Source organism: Homo sapiens, chromosome 7 (genome assembly GCF_000001405.40).
Source record: "Homo sapiens chromosome 7, GRCh38.p14 Primary Assembly".
Taxonomy (NCBI): Eukaryota; Metazoa; Chordata; class Mammalia; order Primates; family Hominidae; genus Homo; species Homo sapiens.
In genome coordinates, this window is record NC_000007.14 from 75,556,182 (window position 1) to 75,572,453 (window position 16,272).

General features: G+C 49.2%; 1 protein-coding gene across 8 annotated transcripts in view; it reads right to left on the bottom strand.

Moving 5' to 3' along the window:
- The window catches only part of HIP1 (huntingtin interacting protein 1), a 205,644-nt gene that overhangs the window by 22,884 nt on the left and 166,488 nt on the right, over positions 1 to 16,272 (bottom strand). For all 8 annotated transcript variants that reach the window (NM_001243198.3, XM_011516116.3, NM_005338.7 and 5 more), the window contains exons 9-17: positions 12,018 to 12,075; positions 7,007 to 7,082; positions 6,754 to 6,894; positions 5,892 to 5,989; positions 5,148 to 5,220; positions 3,551 to 3,734; positions 1,986 to 2,074; positions 1,473 to 1,589; positions 529 to 630 (exon numbers count right to left, since the gene is read on the bottom strand). In NM_001243198.3, coding sequence (NP_001230127.1) covers positions 529 to 630; positions 1,473 to 1,589; positions 1,986 to 2,074; positions 3,551 to 3,734; positions 5,148 to 5,220; positions 5,892 to 5,989; positions 6,754 to 6,894; positions 7,007 to 7,082; positions 12,018 to 12,075 — 938 coding nt within the window. The remainder of the gene's footprint in view (positions 1 to 528; positions 631 to 1,472; positions 1,590 to 1,985; positions 2,075 to 3,550; positions 3,735 to 5,147; positions 5,221 to 5,891; positions 5,990 to 6,753; positions 6,895 to 7,006; positions 7,083 to 12,017; positions 12,076 to 16,272) is intronic.

Genomic DNA, 16,272 nt, shown 5'->3' on the forward strand with positions numbered 1-16,272 from the left:
CCACAAGGAAAGAGGGAGACGCTGGTTGAGTTAAACAGTCCCTACTTCCCAGAGGTCCAACCCACCACCGGGTTGCAAGGACTGGGAAGGTGATGGCTCTTTAACCTGCCACTCTGATTCCCTCCCGGGGACACACTGATTGCAGTGGGGGCTGACTTGGCCAGGCCAAGGATGGTGGATGACAGCAACGCCAAAGCCAGGGGTGGGGCAAGAAAGGAGGCCGGGCATGAAGGCTCATGTCTGTAATCCCAGCACTTTAGGAGGCTGAGGTGGGAGGATCACTTGAGCCCTGGAGTTCGAGACCAGCCTGGGCAACATAGTGAAACCCCGTCTCTACCAAAGAAAATACAAAAACTAGCCAGGTGTAGGGGTGTGTGCCTGTAGTCCCAGTTACTCGGGGGGCTAAGTGGGGAGGATCACCTGAGCCCAGGGAGGTGGAGGCTGCAGTGAGCTGCGATCGCACCACTGCATTCCAACCTGAGTGACAGAAGAAGACTCTATCTCCAAAAAAAAAAAGGAGGTATTTACCTGGGCAGAAGTTTCCAGGCTGCCTTGCAGAACCTGAAGCTCCCGTTGGCTTGTGGCAAGTTCCTGCTTCAAGCTCTCTAGAACTTCCAGCTGTTCTTGAGTCTGAAAGAGAAGAAAAACAGAGGGACTCTGATCTGGGTGACAGTGACAAAGAATATAAAAATGTAAAAACGTCCCAAGCGATCAACAAGAGATCTGTAAACTCTACTGTATGTAAGTTACACCCCCCCAAAAAAGTGCAGGGTGTGGGAGGAGGAGGCAAGACCCCAGAGTGTACTGAAAATGTGGAATGTCAAGGAAGGATTTTTTATTATTTATTTATTTATTTATTTATTTATTTATTTTTGAGACGGAGTCTCGCTGTTGTTGCCCAGGCTGGAGTGCAGTGGTGCAGTCTCAGCTCACTGCAACCTCCACCTCCAAGGTTCAAGAGATTCTTGTGCCTCAGCCTCCCAAGCAGCTGGGACTACGGGCACACGCCATCACACCTGGCTAACTTTTGTATTTTTAGTAGAGATGGGGTTTCACCATATTGGCCAGGCTGGTCTCGAACTCCTGACTTGGTGATCCACACCCCCCTCAGCCTCCCAAAGTCCTGGGATTACTGCCGTCTCAAAAAACAAACAAACAAAACAAACAAACAAAAAAAAACGCTCATCCCTCTCTCTCTGCCACCCATGTGTTTTCCTTTCCTCAAACTCTCCACCAGCCTCATCCTTGGAAAGCCTTTGTTGATTAACCCCAGGCAACTTGGGTCCTTCCATTACTTCGTGTATGCACTGGTGACGGTGTTTTGCTGTTCTGTGTGGCCACCATGGTGTGCTCCCTGCTGTGTGATGCCAACCGACCCACAGAACTGCCCATGGAGCAGAAGGCCACAAAGCCCCCGCCACCAACTCAACAGCCCCCTCCCTCATTTCCCGAGTGCTCCTCGTCCCACTCACCTTCCGCTGGCCCTGGTCACTGATGCGCTCCAACGAATCCTCCAGCTCTTTTTTCTCTCGTTCCAAATCTACCTGGGCTTGTCTGGCCATGGACACCTGTTTGGTCACCTCTGCATTCTGCAAAAGAAGAACAGTGTCTTGAACCAGGAGATCCCAGGCTTAGAGGACATCCTCCTTCTAGGACAATCATACTCAGGCTGTGCGTGCCCTAGAGTCAGACACAGGAATCACTTTCCTACCCACAGCCGGAACAGAGCCATCACCTTCAGATGCTTGATGCTCAAATATTTACAAAATAATAAAGAAGGTGGGTGACCTACATGGGATTGGCACCCAGGACACAGCCCAAGACACAGAGGCAAGGAAGCCTGAAAAGGTGTGGTTCCCGAGATGACGGCAATGCCTTAGAGATCAATGTAGGGGTTGCTGGCCCCGGGGAAGCCACAGGCCTGAGCCGCTCTCTCCCTAGAGGTGCAGGGCCTGCAGGATGGTGACAGGGGCTGAGGGTCTTACCTTCCGCAGCAGGTCAGCGTGGTTCTGAACCAGCTCGCTGTACTTCTCCTTTAGCTTGCTATATCGCTGTTCATTGGCTTGAGCTTTCCCTGTATTGTAAAGGACCAAGGTGAGGAGTCTAACCTAGCAGGGACCCTTGCCTTCCTTGCAATGAGCCAGGGTCCCTAGAAGGTCCTCCTTGTTTTGTTTTGAGACAGTCTTGCTCTGTCACCCAGGCTGGGGTGCAGTGGCACAATCACTGTTCACTGCAGCCTTGACCTCCTTGGGCTCAAGTCATCCTCCCACCCCAGTCTCCTGAGTAGCTGGGTTCATGGGCACACGCCACCACACCCGGCTAATTTTTGTAGAGACAGGGTCTCACTATGTTTTCCAGGCTGGTTTCAAACTCCTGGGCTCAGGTGATCCTCCCATCTCAGTGGGATTATAGGCATGAGCCACTGTGCCCGGCCAAAGATCTTCCTTTGATTTAGGAATGCATATATGCTTTTCTCCCTTGAAAGTCCTACTTACAGAAACTTCTCCAGGAAGTCATCTTTAAAAAGAATTCAACTAGTTAAAAATCAAGCCAGGGGCCAAGCGAGGTGGCTCATGCCTATAATCCCAGCACTTTGGGAGGCCAAGGTGGGTGGATCACCTGAGGTCAGGAGTTCAAGACCAGCCTGACCAACATGGTGAAACCCCATCTCTACTATAAATACAAAAATCAGCTGGACATGGTGGTGTGTGCCTGTAATCCCAGCTACTCGGGAGGCTGAGGCAGGACAATCCCTTAAACCTGGGAGGTAGAGGTTGCAGTGAGCCCAGATCACACCACTGCATTCCAGCCTGGGCGACAGAGTGAGACTCCACCTCAAAAAAATAAAACAAATAAATAATCAAGCCAGGGATTCATGCCTCTTCAGCACTTACATACATGGCATTTATTCTATGGGGGCTTTCAGCTTTTTAACAAATTTATTTGAAATTTTTTAGAGACAAGGCTCTCTGTTGCAGAGGCCGGAGTGCAGTGGTGCAATCAGCTCACTGCAGCCTTGAATTCCTGGGCTCAAGCGATCCTCCTGTCTCAGCCTCAAGAGTAGCTGGGACTACAGGCACGTGCCACCATGCCCGGCTAGTCTTTTTTATTTTTTCTAGAGATGGGGTCTTGCTATGTTGCCCGGGTTGGTCTTGAACTCCTGGCCTCAAGCAGTCCTTCCATCCTGGCCTCCCAGAGTGCTAGGATTACAGGCATGTGCCACTGTGCCCTCAGCTTTTATGTCAATTTCTTTGTTAGGACCTCAATCCTCTCTCCTTCTCCCTTAGTATCCACTGCCCAGGGCAAGCACTTCAGTGCTGTCTTCTGTATTTCCCATCTCTGTGCTCAGCGGTGCCTCGCACACAGCTTTGTGCCTGCAGGACTCAAACCCGCCCTCTGGACTGAGGCTAAGAGCTGGCATTCCTAGCTGTTTCTAGAAAGACAGTCTGGGTCTCCCCCACCCAGCCTCTGTGCCGCATCCTGAGTCCAGCTGGGCTCTGCTGCCCGCGCCTGCCCCCGGGGCCCGCCCCCGCCCCCACCCACCGCTCACTTTCTATCTCAGACAGGCTCCGCTGAGCCTTCTCGGTGTCCTCCCGCTGCCTCCTGAGCTCGTCCAGTTCTGCCCGCAGGAATTCACAGTCGTCGGCCGCCTGCTGCCGCAGGTGCTGCTGCTCGGCCAGATCTGCTTCCAGCTCGCTGACGTGGCCCTTCAGCTGCAGCACAACCCGCTGGCTCTGTGGGGGGACTCCGGTCATGAGGCCAACCGCCCACTGCCACGGGTCACGGGCATGGGCCGGAGAAGCGGGTCCTACCATGCTTCCAAGTAAATACCTGATTCCCCTAAGTCAACTCTCCACGTCCCAGGAGGGTTGGACCATCTGGTCATTAGGAGCCCCTCAATCAACAACAATAACAGGGGATGATGGCCGGGGAATTGTGGTCCTCTTTAGAGTGGCTGGGGGTAGCAGTGGCTGTCCCTGTGGGTGAAGTCACCTGACCAGCCACTGTGAGGGGCGGTTGTTAATATAGCACCAACATTGCTCACAGCTGTCTCTTCTCTTTTTTTTTTGGCGGTTGGGGGAGGGGAGGGACAGGGTATCACTATCACCTAGACTGGAGTGCAGTGAGGTGATTATGGCTCACTGCAGCCTCAACCTCCTAGGCTCAAGAGATCCTCTAGCTTCAGCCTCCCAAGTAGCTGGCATTACAGGTATGCACCACCATGCCCAGCTAATTTTTAAAAAGTTTTTTGTAGAGATGGGGTCTTGCTATGTTGCCCAAGCTAGTCTTGAACTGCTGGGCTCAAGTGATCCTTCTGCCTGAGCCTTCCAAAGTGCTGGGGTTACAGGCGTGAGCCACTGTGCCCGGCAAACCAATCTCTCCTTATCGCCATGTGAGAAGGTCTGGTCTTGTTCTCCACAGCTTCTCAGCCTCGTGGGGACCAAGGTCATCTCTGGGTATCAATCACATGGATACTGTGCCTGGCCTAAATGCTGTCCTCATGGCATGTAAAATGGAAATGCATTATGACAGAGAACACGGGAAGACCTGGTTCTTTTGGATTTAGCATTTCTACCAGTTTTTATTTGGTTTTAGAGACACAGGTCTCGCTATGTTGCCCAGGCTGGATTCAAAACTCCTGGGCTTGAGTGATCCTCCTACCTCAGCCTCCTGAGTAGCTGGGATCACAGGTGCACACCACCACGCCTGGCTTGTTTCTACTAATTAACCTACCCTAAGGATGTGGTCCAAAAACTGTCTAGGTGATGCAATTTTTTTTTTTTTTTTTGAGACAGAGTCTTGTTCTATCGCCCAGGCTGGAGTGCAGTGACACGATCTCAGTTCACTGCAACCTCTGCCTCCCAAGTTCAAGCAATTCTCATGCCTCAGCTTCCCGAGTAGCTGGGATTACAGGTGCCTGCCAACACACCCGGCTAATTATTGCATTTTTATTGAAGACGGGGGTTTCACCCTGTTGCCCAGGCTGGTCTCGAACTCCCGACCTCAGGTAATCCTCCTGCCTTGGCCTCCCAAAGTGCTAGGATTACAGGTGTGAGCCACTGTGCCTGGCTAGTGTGATGCAAATTTAACATTCAAATCTACCGTGTTTTGGTGAAGCGCAAAGGCAGAGCAGATCCAAGTTATACCTCAGTCTTCATGTTTTCTAGCTGTGCCTTCAATCCACTGATCTCTCTGTATAGTCGCTCAATTAAGTGGTCCCTGGGAAGAGAAGGGGAATGAGTTTGCTTTCATAGTGCTTCTATCCCTCTGTTTTTAATTGTGAGCTCAGGGGAGGAAATTAAAAGCTGGTATTAATTTGGGGACAATTCTTTGAAATGCCATAAATTATACTCTAAATGTTACCAGATACTAATCTAATACTCATAAATCCATGGTTATTGATTTTCTTCTGAGATTAAAGGGGCCAATATTTGAGGGTCAAGACATTCCTTTTTTGTGTGTGTTTTCGGTTTTGTTTTAGAGACAGTCTGGCTTTGTCGCCCAGGCTGAAGTGTAGTGGCACGATCATAGCTCACTGCAGCCTTGATATCCCAGGCTCAAATGATCTTCCCACTTCAGCCTCCTGAGTTACTGGGACTACAGGTGTGTACCACCTGCCCAGCTAATTTTTTTACTTTTATTTAATAAAGATGGGATCTTGCTATGTTGCCCAAGCTTGGTCTTAAACTCCTGGCCTTAAAAAATCCTCCTACCTCATCCTCCCCACATGTTGGGATTACAGGCATAAGCCATTGCCCCCAACCCTTCAAGATGTTCTGTATCTAAGAAGCCCCAGTATCATTAAGAATTCCTCTTTGGTTAGTGTTTTGAGGCAGACCATGGCTTAACTTAGCTCCTGAACCATCTGCTTGAACCCAGCTTGGACTCACTTCTCATCCTTGTTCACACCATTTTGACTGTTGAAATTGAAGGGATCACTGCTGAATGAACTGCCAAAGATGTCATCAAACTTGTTGTCAAATAAATTCTGTGGTTGACCAAAAAGGAGTGAGAATAAGTCAGAGAGCCAGAGAATTCTGTGTGTGGGTCAGTTGAGTGATATGGGAGAATGCCCCCTTTCTCGAATTAAACGGTTCAGACCTGTTTAATTTTTTTAATTTTTTTGAGACAGGTTCTCGCTCTACTGCCCAGGCTAGAGTACAGTGGTGCAATCATAGCTCACTGCAGCCTCCAACTCCTGGCTCAAGTGATCCTCCTGTTTCAGCCTCCTGAGTAGCTGGAAGTATAGGTGTGTGCCACCATACCTGGATAATTTTTTTATTTTAATTTTATGTATTTATATTTTTAGGGCCTGGTTCTTGTTCTCTTGCCTAGGCTGGAGTGCAGTGGCATGATAACAGCTCACTGTAGCCTTGGCCTCCCAGGCTCAAGTGATCCTCCCATCTCAGCTTCCCACATAGCTGGGACCACAGGTATGTGCCACCACATCTGGCTAATTTTGTAAAGATGGGGCCTTACTATGTTGCCCAGGCTGGTCTTGAACTGGCCTCAAGCAGTCTTCCCACCTTGGCCTTGCAAAGTGTTGGGATTACAGCTGTGAGCCACTGCACCCATTTATGACCCTTCTGGGAGCCACAGAGCAGGATGCTCAGCCTAGGTTGGTGCTAGGTGAATGAAGAGAAGCCTGAACCTGGTTAGAGTCAATGGGCTTTGGCCAGGGTCTCCCCCAGCCTCTCCCCTGTACTTGCAGGTGAGAGGAAAGGCCAAGTTTCTCTCCCAAGTGGTCCTCACCTGCTGAGAGGCATCCATGTCCATGAGGTCATCCTTCTCTAGGACTGGCTCGCTGTCGGGGGATGAGGCCTCTGCAGGGATCACCACCACAGGGCTGATATGTTCTGACAGGGCTGAGGCTCGCAGGAAGTTGGGTGGGTTCTGAAGACGGAGACACATCCTCAAATAGTGCTTGCTTGCCAGGCCCCGCCGGCCCTTAAGAGAGTACCTGGGGCCTCTGCAGTGCCGAGGGTGTGTGGTTGGGCATGCTTACCTCAGGCAGCTGGGGGATCTGAATGAGCCGCTTGAAGTACTGCAGGTTGCTGGAGCGGTAGAACAGATCTTTCAACCTAGGGGTGGAGAAGGACCTGAGGGGTGCTGGGTGTCTTCATCAGCCCCATGTAGGGGACAGAGCAGCCACCTGGCTTTCCTGCCCCCTCCCCAGCCCAAAGGCACAGGCTGTCAAGGAGATAAACTCCATGGTGCTGGGATTCAATTATGATGCTGCAGAGGATTATTTAAAGCTGGTCCTCAGTGACCTGCTGGTGAGGAAAGAGTAATTCATGCTACAAATCCTTTGGAAGAGTAGATAATCAAAAAGCTAATTTCTTCATTGCTGTAGAACACATGTTGTTATTTTGCAGATTTAACTTCCGAGGAGTGTTTGGTTTAGAGTAACATTAAAAGAAATTGACTTTCTCTGAGGATAAGCCATCTAACCATAGGAAAAGGGAAGGGAATTTTACTACAAAGGTAGCTCTCTTCTTTCATTACTTCTCTTTGTTTTTGGACTATTTGTTCTCTCCACAATTAAGACTATAAGTTCCTGGGAAGTGGGGACTGAGCTCCGCTGAGCTGTTTCCCATAATGCCAGGGACAGGGCAGCCGTTCAATAAACACTTGGAGAATTACAATCGTTTGGTACTATGTCCTAATCTTGGGTGGATATGCACATGAAGAAACCAATATTTTTTTTCTCTCTCTCTCTCTTTTTGTAGAGGCAGGGTCTTGCTCTGTCACCCAGGCTAGAGTGCAGTGGTGCAATCAGAGCTCATTGCAGCCTTGAATTCCTGGGCTCAAGCAGTCTTCTGCCTCAGCCTCCTGAGTAGCTAGAATTACAGGGATGCACCACCATGCCTGGCTAATTTTTAATTTTTTGGTAGAAACAGGCTCTTGCTGTGTTGCCCAGGCTGGTCTCAAACTCCTGGCTTCAAGCAATCCTACTGCCTTGGCCTCCCAAAGTGCTGGGATTACAGGCATGAGCCACCACATCTGGCAAAATCAACATCTTTTTCTCATTCTCAAATCTCTATTTTGAATCTAAACACTGAAGACCAAGAAACCTAAGAGAATCCAGACTTATATATTCTTCATTTTTATTTTGTTTGTTTATTTTTTGAGATGGAGTGTCGCTCTTATTGCCCAGGCTGGAGTGCAATGGCGCGATCTCGGCTCACTGCAAGCTCCACCTTCCAGGTTCAAGGGATTCTCCTGCCTCAGCCTGCTGAGTTGCTGGGATTACAAGCATGTGCCATCATGCCTGGGTAATTTTGTATCTTTAGTAGAGATGGGGTTTCTCCATGTTGGTCAGGCTGGTTTCGAACTCCCGACCTCAGGTGATCCGCCCGTCTCGGCCTCCCAAAATGTTGGGGTTATAGGCGTGAGCCAATGTGCCCTGCCTATTTGTAAATATTTTTTTGAGATTGGGTCTTAGTCTGTCGCCCAGGCTGGAGTATAGTGGCAAAATCATAGCTCACTGCAGCCTTGACCTCCCTGGGCCCAAGGGATCCTCTCACCTCAGCCTCCAAGTAGCTGGGAGTACAGGTGTGTGCCACCACACCTGGCTAATTTTTTGTGTGTTTTTGATAAAGATGGGGTCTCTCTATGTTGTCCAGGCTGGTCTCAAACTCCTGGGCTCAAGCCATCTACCCACCTTGGCCTTCCAAAGTGCTGGGATTATAGGTGAGAGCCACCATGCTTGGCCTGTTTTAATTTTTTTAGAGACAAGGTCTTGCTGTGTCACCCAGGCTGAAGTGCAGTGGAACGATCAAGGCTTGCTGCAATCTCAACCTCCTGGGCTCAAGCGATCCTCCCACCTCAGCCTCCTGAGTAGCTGGAGTTAACTACATCTATTCTGAGATGAAAGGGGTACATGGGCCTTAAATCCTTTGGCCTGCAACAATGAACTTTCTCCAGCTTAGTCCAATAAACGAAACCCCCAGGGTCTCGTTACAGCCTGTCAGATCCCAAGACTTAGGCCTGTCTCTGTCTCTGTGACATCACTGCTGCTTCCCCTGAATTCAAGGACAGTGAGGTCTCAGACAGCAGCCGTGTCTGTGTGGAACAGCAAAGTGGCTACTCAGGGGAGATGTTTTTCTAAGCTAGAAGCAAATGAAAGGAAATGAAATCACCTGACCACACATCCCCATCTTGCTGGTTTGGAGCCAACAGTAACAGGCTCAACTGCTTTCACAAGCTACCGGAATTTGACATTCCAGGAAATCAGCCTCAGGGCCTGTCTCCTTGGACTAAAGAAGCCATTTATCACAGAATATGTACTCGGCTTCTCAAATGGAACAGGGGTACCAGGAGGTGGGTACAACCACACACTTGTCCTTCGCTTGCTCCTGGGGAACCAGGCAGAGAAGCTGAAACTTGGCATTTGGGAGTTATGGTCAAGGGTGAGGAAATTAACAGGAAAAACAAGAGAGTGCACTTTTACACAGCTAAGTCAGGAGGCCCTTCTCAGCCCCCTCTGTCCTCCCAACTCTCACTCTATTATCCTTCCCTTTTGCCTGGTTTCGCCTCCCCTCCCCTCCTTTCCTTTTTTTTTTTTTGGATGGAGTCTTGCTCTGTTGCCCAAGCTGTAGTGCAGTGGCATGATCTCAGCTCATTGCAACCTCTGCCACCTGAGTTCAAGCAATTCTCCTGCCTCAGCCTCCTGAGTAGCTGGGATTACAGGGCTAATTTTTGTATTTACAGTAGAGACAGGGTTTCATCATGTTAGCCAGGCTGCTCTCAAACTCCTGACCTCAAGCGATCCACTTGCTTCGGCCTCCCAAAGTGCTGGGATTACAGGTGTGAGCCACTGCACCCAGCCTAAGTAAAGATCTTTTGTTTTTGTTTTTGTTTTGAGATGGAATCTCATTCTGACGCCCAGGCCTGAGTGCAGTGATGTGATCTTGGCTCACTGCAACCTCCACCTCCTGGGTTCAAGCGATTCTTCTGCCTCAGCCTCCCGAGTAGCTGGGATTACAGGTGTGCACCACCATGCCCTGCTAATTTTTTAGTAGAGACGGGGTTTCACCATGTTGGCCAGGCTGGTCTTGAACTCCTGACCTCAAGTGATCTGCCCACCTCGGCCTCCCAAAGTGCTGGGATTACAGGCATGAGCCACTGCACCCGGCTGGTGTTAGCAACTTTTATTGAGGCGGCAGTGCACAGCCAGCAGCGGAGGTCCTGTTCCTTGCAGCGCAGGGCTACTCCATACGCAGTGAGCCCAGAATAGCAGCTGTTACATTTATACCCACTTTTAATTATATGTAAATTAAGGGGCAGATTATGCAGAAATTTCTAGAAAAAAAGTGGTAAATTCCAGATTGTCAGGTTATTGCCATGGAAAGGGGCGCTAACTTCCGGATGTTGCCATAGCAATGGTAAACTGTCACTGCACACTGGTAGGTGTGTCTTATGCAGAGGTGCTTCCGCCCTTTCCCTGTTTTACTTGTCCTTAATTTGGTCCGATGCCCAAGCCCTGCCTCCAGAGTCCAGTCTCCCATCCCACCTCAGAAGCAGGTCATATTTGTAGGGTATCAACCAAACCTGCTAGTGGATTGGACATGGGGGATGAGGAAAATGGTGACTTCCAGATCTCTGGCCTAAATGGATGATGGCAGTATTTGTTGAGATAGAAAAGAATGGGGAGGGGCTGGGCACAGTGACTCGCGCCGGTAATCCCATCACTTTGGGAGGCAGATCACTTGAGGTCAGGAGTTCCAGACCAGCCCGGCCAACATGGTGAAATCCTGTCTCTACTAAAAATACAAAAATTAGTCGGGCATGGTGGTGGGCGCCTGTAATCCTAGCTACTGAAGAGGCTGAGGCAGGAGAATCACTGGAGATGGGGAGGCTGAGGTTGCAGTAAGCCAAGATCACACCACCGCACTCAAGCCTGGGTGACAGAGCGAGACTCTGTCTCAAAAACAAAAACAAAAACAAACAAACAAAAACAGAATGGAGAGAGAAAGGTTTTTTTTTGTTTTTTTTTTTTGAGAAAACCTAAAGTACAGTTTGAGATTTAAGTATGCTATACAGATGTCAAATTGGGGACAAGAGGCTGGCATTCAGAAGTAAGGTCTGGCTAGAGATGCATATTTAGGGGTTATCAGTCTATAAATGCTATAAGACCAGAACTTAGGGAGACAGAAAAGAGAAGAGGATGAAGTCTGGGGCATAAGCAGGCAACTAATGAATGGATGAAATCTCTTTCTTCTATATGCTTCTATGGGATTTATTAGATAACCAATAGTTACCCTAGCTATAGGTAGATTTGCCTCTGTCTGAGCTATTTTCTGTCACTTTATCACCTTAGAATGAAGATAACCTCAGGTCGGGTGCAGTGGCTCACGCCTGTAATCCCAACACTTTGGGAGGCTGAGGTGGGCAGATCACAAGGTCAAGAGATCGAGACCATCCTGGCCAACATGGTGAAACCCTATCTCTACTAAAAATACAAAAATTAGCTGGGCATGGTGGTGTGTGCCTGTAGTCTCAGCTACTCGAGAGGCTGATGCAGGAGAATCACTTGAACCCAGGAGGCGGAGGTTGCAGTGAGCCGAGATCGTGCCATTGCCATTGCACTCCAGCCCGAAGATAACCTCACGCCCACAAGTATTTAAAAAAAATTTTTTTTTAGAGACAGGGTCTCACTTTGTCACATAGACTGAAGTCCAGTGGCACAATCTAGCTCACTGCAGCCTCGGACTCCTAGGCTCAGGCCATCCTCCTGCCTCAGCCTCTCAAGTGGCTGGGATCACAGGTGCATACCACCGTGCCCAGCTAATTTGTTTTACATTTTTTTTCTGTAGAGATGGGGTCTCGCTATGTTGCCCAGCCTGGTGTCAAACTCTTGGCCTCAAGTGATCCTCCCGCCTCAGCCTCCCAAAGAGTTGGGGTTACAGGCATGAACCACTGTGTCCAGCCACCTCTCACAGTGCACTTGCATGGCTTAATGATTTTATAGCGCTCTTGAATTCACCTCCATTCCTGTTACTTGAACCACTTACTTTGTAAACTGCTCCATGAAGCGGTCCCGGTGGCCTTGCAGGGTGTCAGCTGGGAGGCCTGGAAGAAATTGGAAAGAGTGTGAGAGGGGAGGGGGACCAGAGGGCAGGGAAGCCACAGCGGGGCTCTCGAGGGGGAGGGGCCCAGCTACCCTGGGGCATGTGGCCAGCACTGCCAGGGGCCACGACTGGCCTAGAGCTGTCCCGAGGTCTGGTAACCAAGGGAGCCCAGCAGGAACCAGCAGGAGTGTGGAGACGCTTATCCTCCAAATCCTTTCACTTCAATTAGTTCCTGAAGGACAAGCCATGCCGGGCACAATAGGGTGGAAATTGTGTCCTGGACTAGAGAAGAAATGGTGACCTGACCCAGTAGCAGGCTGGACCATGGCAGGCCCAGGAGGGAGCAGTTCTTTCTCAGCTATTGCCTGCATTTGTTTTAGGTTGAGGCTCAGGGCTGATATTAGTCTGGAAGAGATCCGCAGAACCTGCCCAAGAGGATGGCTGTCAGAAGGCAAAGAACAAGGGATTGAAGGCCAGGTGCAGTGGCTCACGCATGTAATCCCAGCACTTTGGGAGGCTGAGGCAGGAGAATCACTTGAGGTCAGGAGTTCGAGACCAGCCTGACCAATATGGTGAAACCATGTCTCTACTAAAAATACAGAAATTAGCCGGGCGCGGTGGCATGCGCCTGTAATCCCAGCTACTTGGGAGGCTGAGGCAGGAGAATTGCTTGAACCCAGCAGGCGGAAGTTGCAGTGAGCTGAGATTGCACCACTGCACTCCAGCCTGGGCGACAGTGAGACTCTGTCAAAAAAAAGAACAAGGGATTGAGGCTTGGGATCTGAGTTCCAGTCCCGGCTTGGTTGGTAGCTAACTCTATGACACTGCACACACCAGTAACCTCTTAGGACAGCCTCCTCCCCTACAGAGCCAGTTCTCTGAGGTTCTGTAACCTCTCAGATGTGCGAACCTGCATATTGCAGCTGTAGATCACAGCTCAGCAATCCTTTTAGTGTTTGCTTTATTTGTTTAAATTTAAATTTGTTATTTGGAAATGGGTCATACATTCACTGGATAAAATCAGGGAACACATGTATAAAACATGATTATTGAAATGGCAAAAGATGGCTGGGCGCAGTGGCTCCCATGTGTAATCCCAGCACTTTGGGAGGCTGAGTGGGGAGCATCGCTTGTACCCAGGAGTTTGAGACCAGCCTGGGCAACATAGTGAGACCCCCATCTCTACAAAAATTAAGAAATAAAAATTAGCCAGGTGTGGTGATGTGCACTGTAGTCTTAGCTACTCAAGAGGTTGAGGTGGGAGGATCTTTTAAGCCCAGGAGTTTGAGGCTGCAGTGAGCTACAATCGCACCACTGCACTCCAGCCTGGGTGACAGAGCGAGACCCTGTCTTGAAACAAAACAAAACAAAACAAAACAAAAATGGCAGAAGTGGACAGTGAATGAATATGGCACTTGACCTAAATGATCTTTCTCCCAAGAACCCTTAACCCCAGTTAAATCAGGAGAAAAACATCAGGCAAACAGAATTCAGGAACATTCTACAAAAAACTCAGAACTGTCAAAGTCATCAAAAATAAGGGAAGTTTGAGAAGTGAAACGTCATAGCCAAGAGGAACCTAAGGAGACATCACAACTAAATGTCACATGCATGTACCGGGTGAGATTCTGGGGCAGAAAAGGACATTCGGTAAAAACTGTGACAATCTGAATAAAGTACGAACTTTTTTTTTTTTTTGAGACAGAATCTCACTCTGTTGCCAGGCTGGAGGGCAGTGGCACAATCTCAGCTCACCACAACCTCCGCCTCCCGGGTTCAAGCAATTCTCCTGCCTCAGCTCCCAAGCAGCTGGGACTACAGGCGCGCGCCACCACACCCCGCTAATTTTTGTATTTTTAGCAGATACAGGGTTTCGCCGTGTTGGCCAGGATGGTTTCAATCTCTTGACCTCGTGATCCGCCTGCCTTGACCTCCCAAAGTGCTGGGATTACAGGTGTGAGTCACCGTGCCCTGCCTTAAGTACGAACTTTAATTAATAATAAGGTATCAACACTGGTTAATTAGTTGTGACACGTTTCTTTTTTTTTTTTTTCGAGACGATGTCTCGCTCTGTCACCCAGGCTGGAGTGCAGTGGCACGATCTCGGCTCACTGCAAGCTCCACCTCCAGGGCTCACACCATTCTGCTGCCTCAGCCTCCTGAGCAGCTGGGACTACAGGCGCCCGCCACCACGCCCGGCTAATTTTTTGTATTTTTAGTAGAGACAGGGTTTCACCATGTTGGCCAGGATGGTCTCGATCTCCTGACCTCATGATCCGCCCACCTCGGCCTCCCAAAGTGCTGGGATTACAGGCGTGAGCCACCGTGCCCGGCCAGTTGTGGCAAATGTTTCATACTAATATACGAACAAAGGGAAAATGGAACTGGGTATACGAGAACTCTCGGTACTATTTTTATAACTTTTCTGTAGATCTAAAACAAAAATAAATGTTTATTTTTAGAAAAGAGGGCCAGCTGCAGTGGCTCACAATTGCAATCCCAGCACTTTGGGAGGCCGAGGCAGGAGGATCACTTGAGCTCAGGAGTTCGAGACAAGCCTGGCCAACAGGATGAAACCCTGTCTCTACTAAAAACAATACAAAAATTAGCCAGGCATGGTGGCGGGCACCTATAATCTCAGCTACTTGGGAGGCTGAGGTAGGAGAATTGCTTGAACCTGGGAGATGGAGGTTGCAGTGGGATGAGATTGTGCCACTGCACTCCAGCCTGGGCAACAGAGCGAGACCCTGTTTCAGAAAAATAAATAAATAAATAAAGTAAATTAAAAAACTATGTATTGTAAAGAGTATCCCTCCTACCCCTTCCTCAGCCCAGAGGCAGTGTGGGTCTTGGGTATTGCCCTGCCTTCAAAGAAGGCCTTTAAACCCAAACACTTATACCTGTCTCTTCTCATAACTCCCTCAGCCTCCAGAGTAACTGGGACTGCAGGTGTGCACCACCATGCCCAGCTTAACTCCCCATTTTACAAAAAGGCAGTGGTGATGTTCTACTGAGCAACAGAATACTTGGAAACAATGAAAAGTTTCCAGGGGAAACAATGAAAAGTTCATCTGTATTCAGCACTCTAAGCAGCTGGTCCCTTCTCTTGGGGGCCCACTCCACCCTCTCAGCTCCCTTCAGGCAGGCCTACTTGCCGCAAAGCCCTTCTAATCCCTGGGCAGCTAATTCCAATCTCCCTTCCACAAAACCATCCTAGGTTAGCATCTAGGCGATGCTACACCCTTCCCTTGTACTGTCTAAATAAAGAGATTCATTACTTGTCAATAACCGCAGTTACAGAGTATACTGTCTTATACTACTTTATTTTATTTATTTTATTTTTTTTAGGCACGGTCTCGTTCTGTTGCCCAGGCTGGAGTGCAGTGGCACAAACACAGCTCACTGTAGCCTTGACCTTCTGGGCTCAAGCGATCCTCTCGCCTTAGCCTCCCAGGTAGCTGGGACTACAGGCGCATGTCACCATGCCTGGCTAATTTTTGTATTTTTTGTACAGACAGGGATTTCACTATGTTGCTCAGGCTGGTCTCCAACCCCTGAGCTCAAGCGATCTGCCTGCATCAGCCTCCCAAAGTGATGGGATTCCATGCGTGAACCACTGTGCCCACCCCAGACACATCATTTTAAACCAGAAGGACACAAAAGTATAAGAACTGGCGGGTGTGGTGGGTCATACCTGTAATCCTAGCACTTTAGGAGGCTGAGGTGGGCGGATCACTTGAGGCCAGGAGTTCGAGACCAGCCTGGCCAACATGGGGAAACCCCATCTCTACTAAAAATTCAAACAACAACAACAAAAAATTAGCTGGGTGTGCCAGCACAGACCTGTGGTCCCAGCTACTTGGGAGGCTAAGGCACAAGAATTGCTTGAACCTGGTAGGCAGAGGTTGCAGTGAGCCGAGATCATGCCATTGCACTCTAGCCTGGGTGAGAGAGTGAGACTCTGTCTCAGAAAAAAAAAAAAAAAAAAGTGTAAGAACTTCTGTAAGACCAGAACTTCCAAACTATATATATTCTGCTAAGGGCACCCCAGGGAACTGAAGCTAGGTAAGGGATAGGTCTCCATTTAATGAGCAGCTGTGTTTTATAATTTATATTTCTCCATAAAATTCCATTTGCACAAAGGGATTGTGTAGATAAATGGTCTGGAAATCATTATGTTAGCTCATGTAGGTCTAGG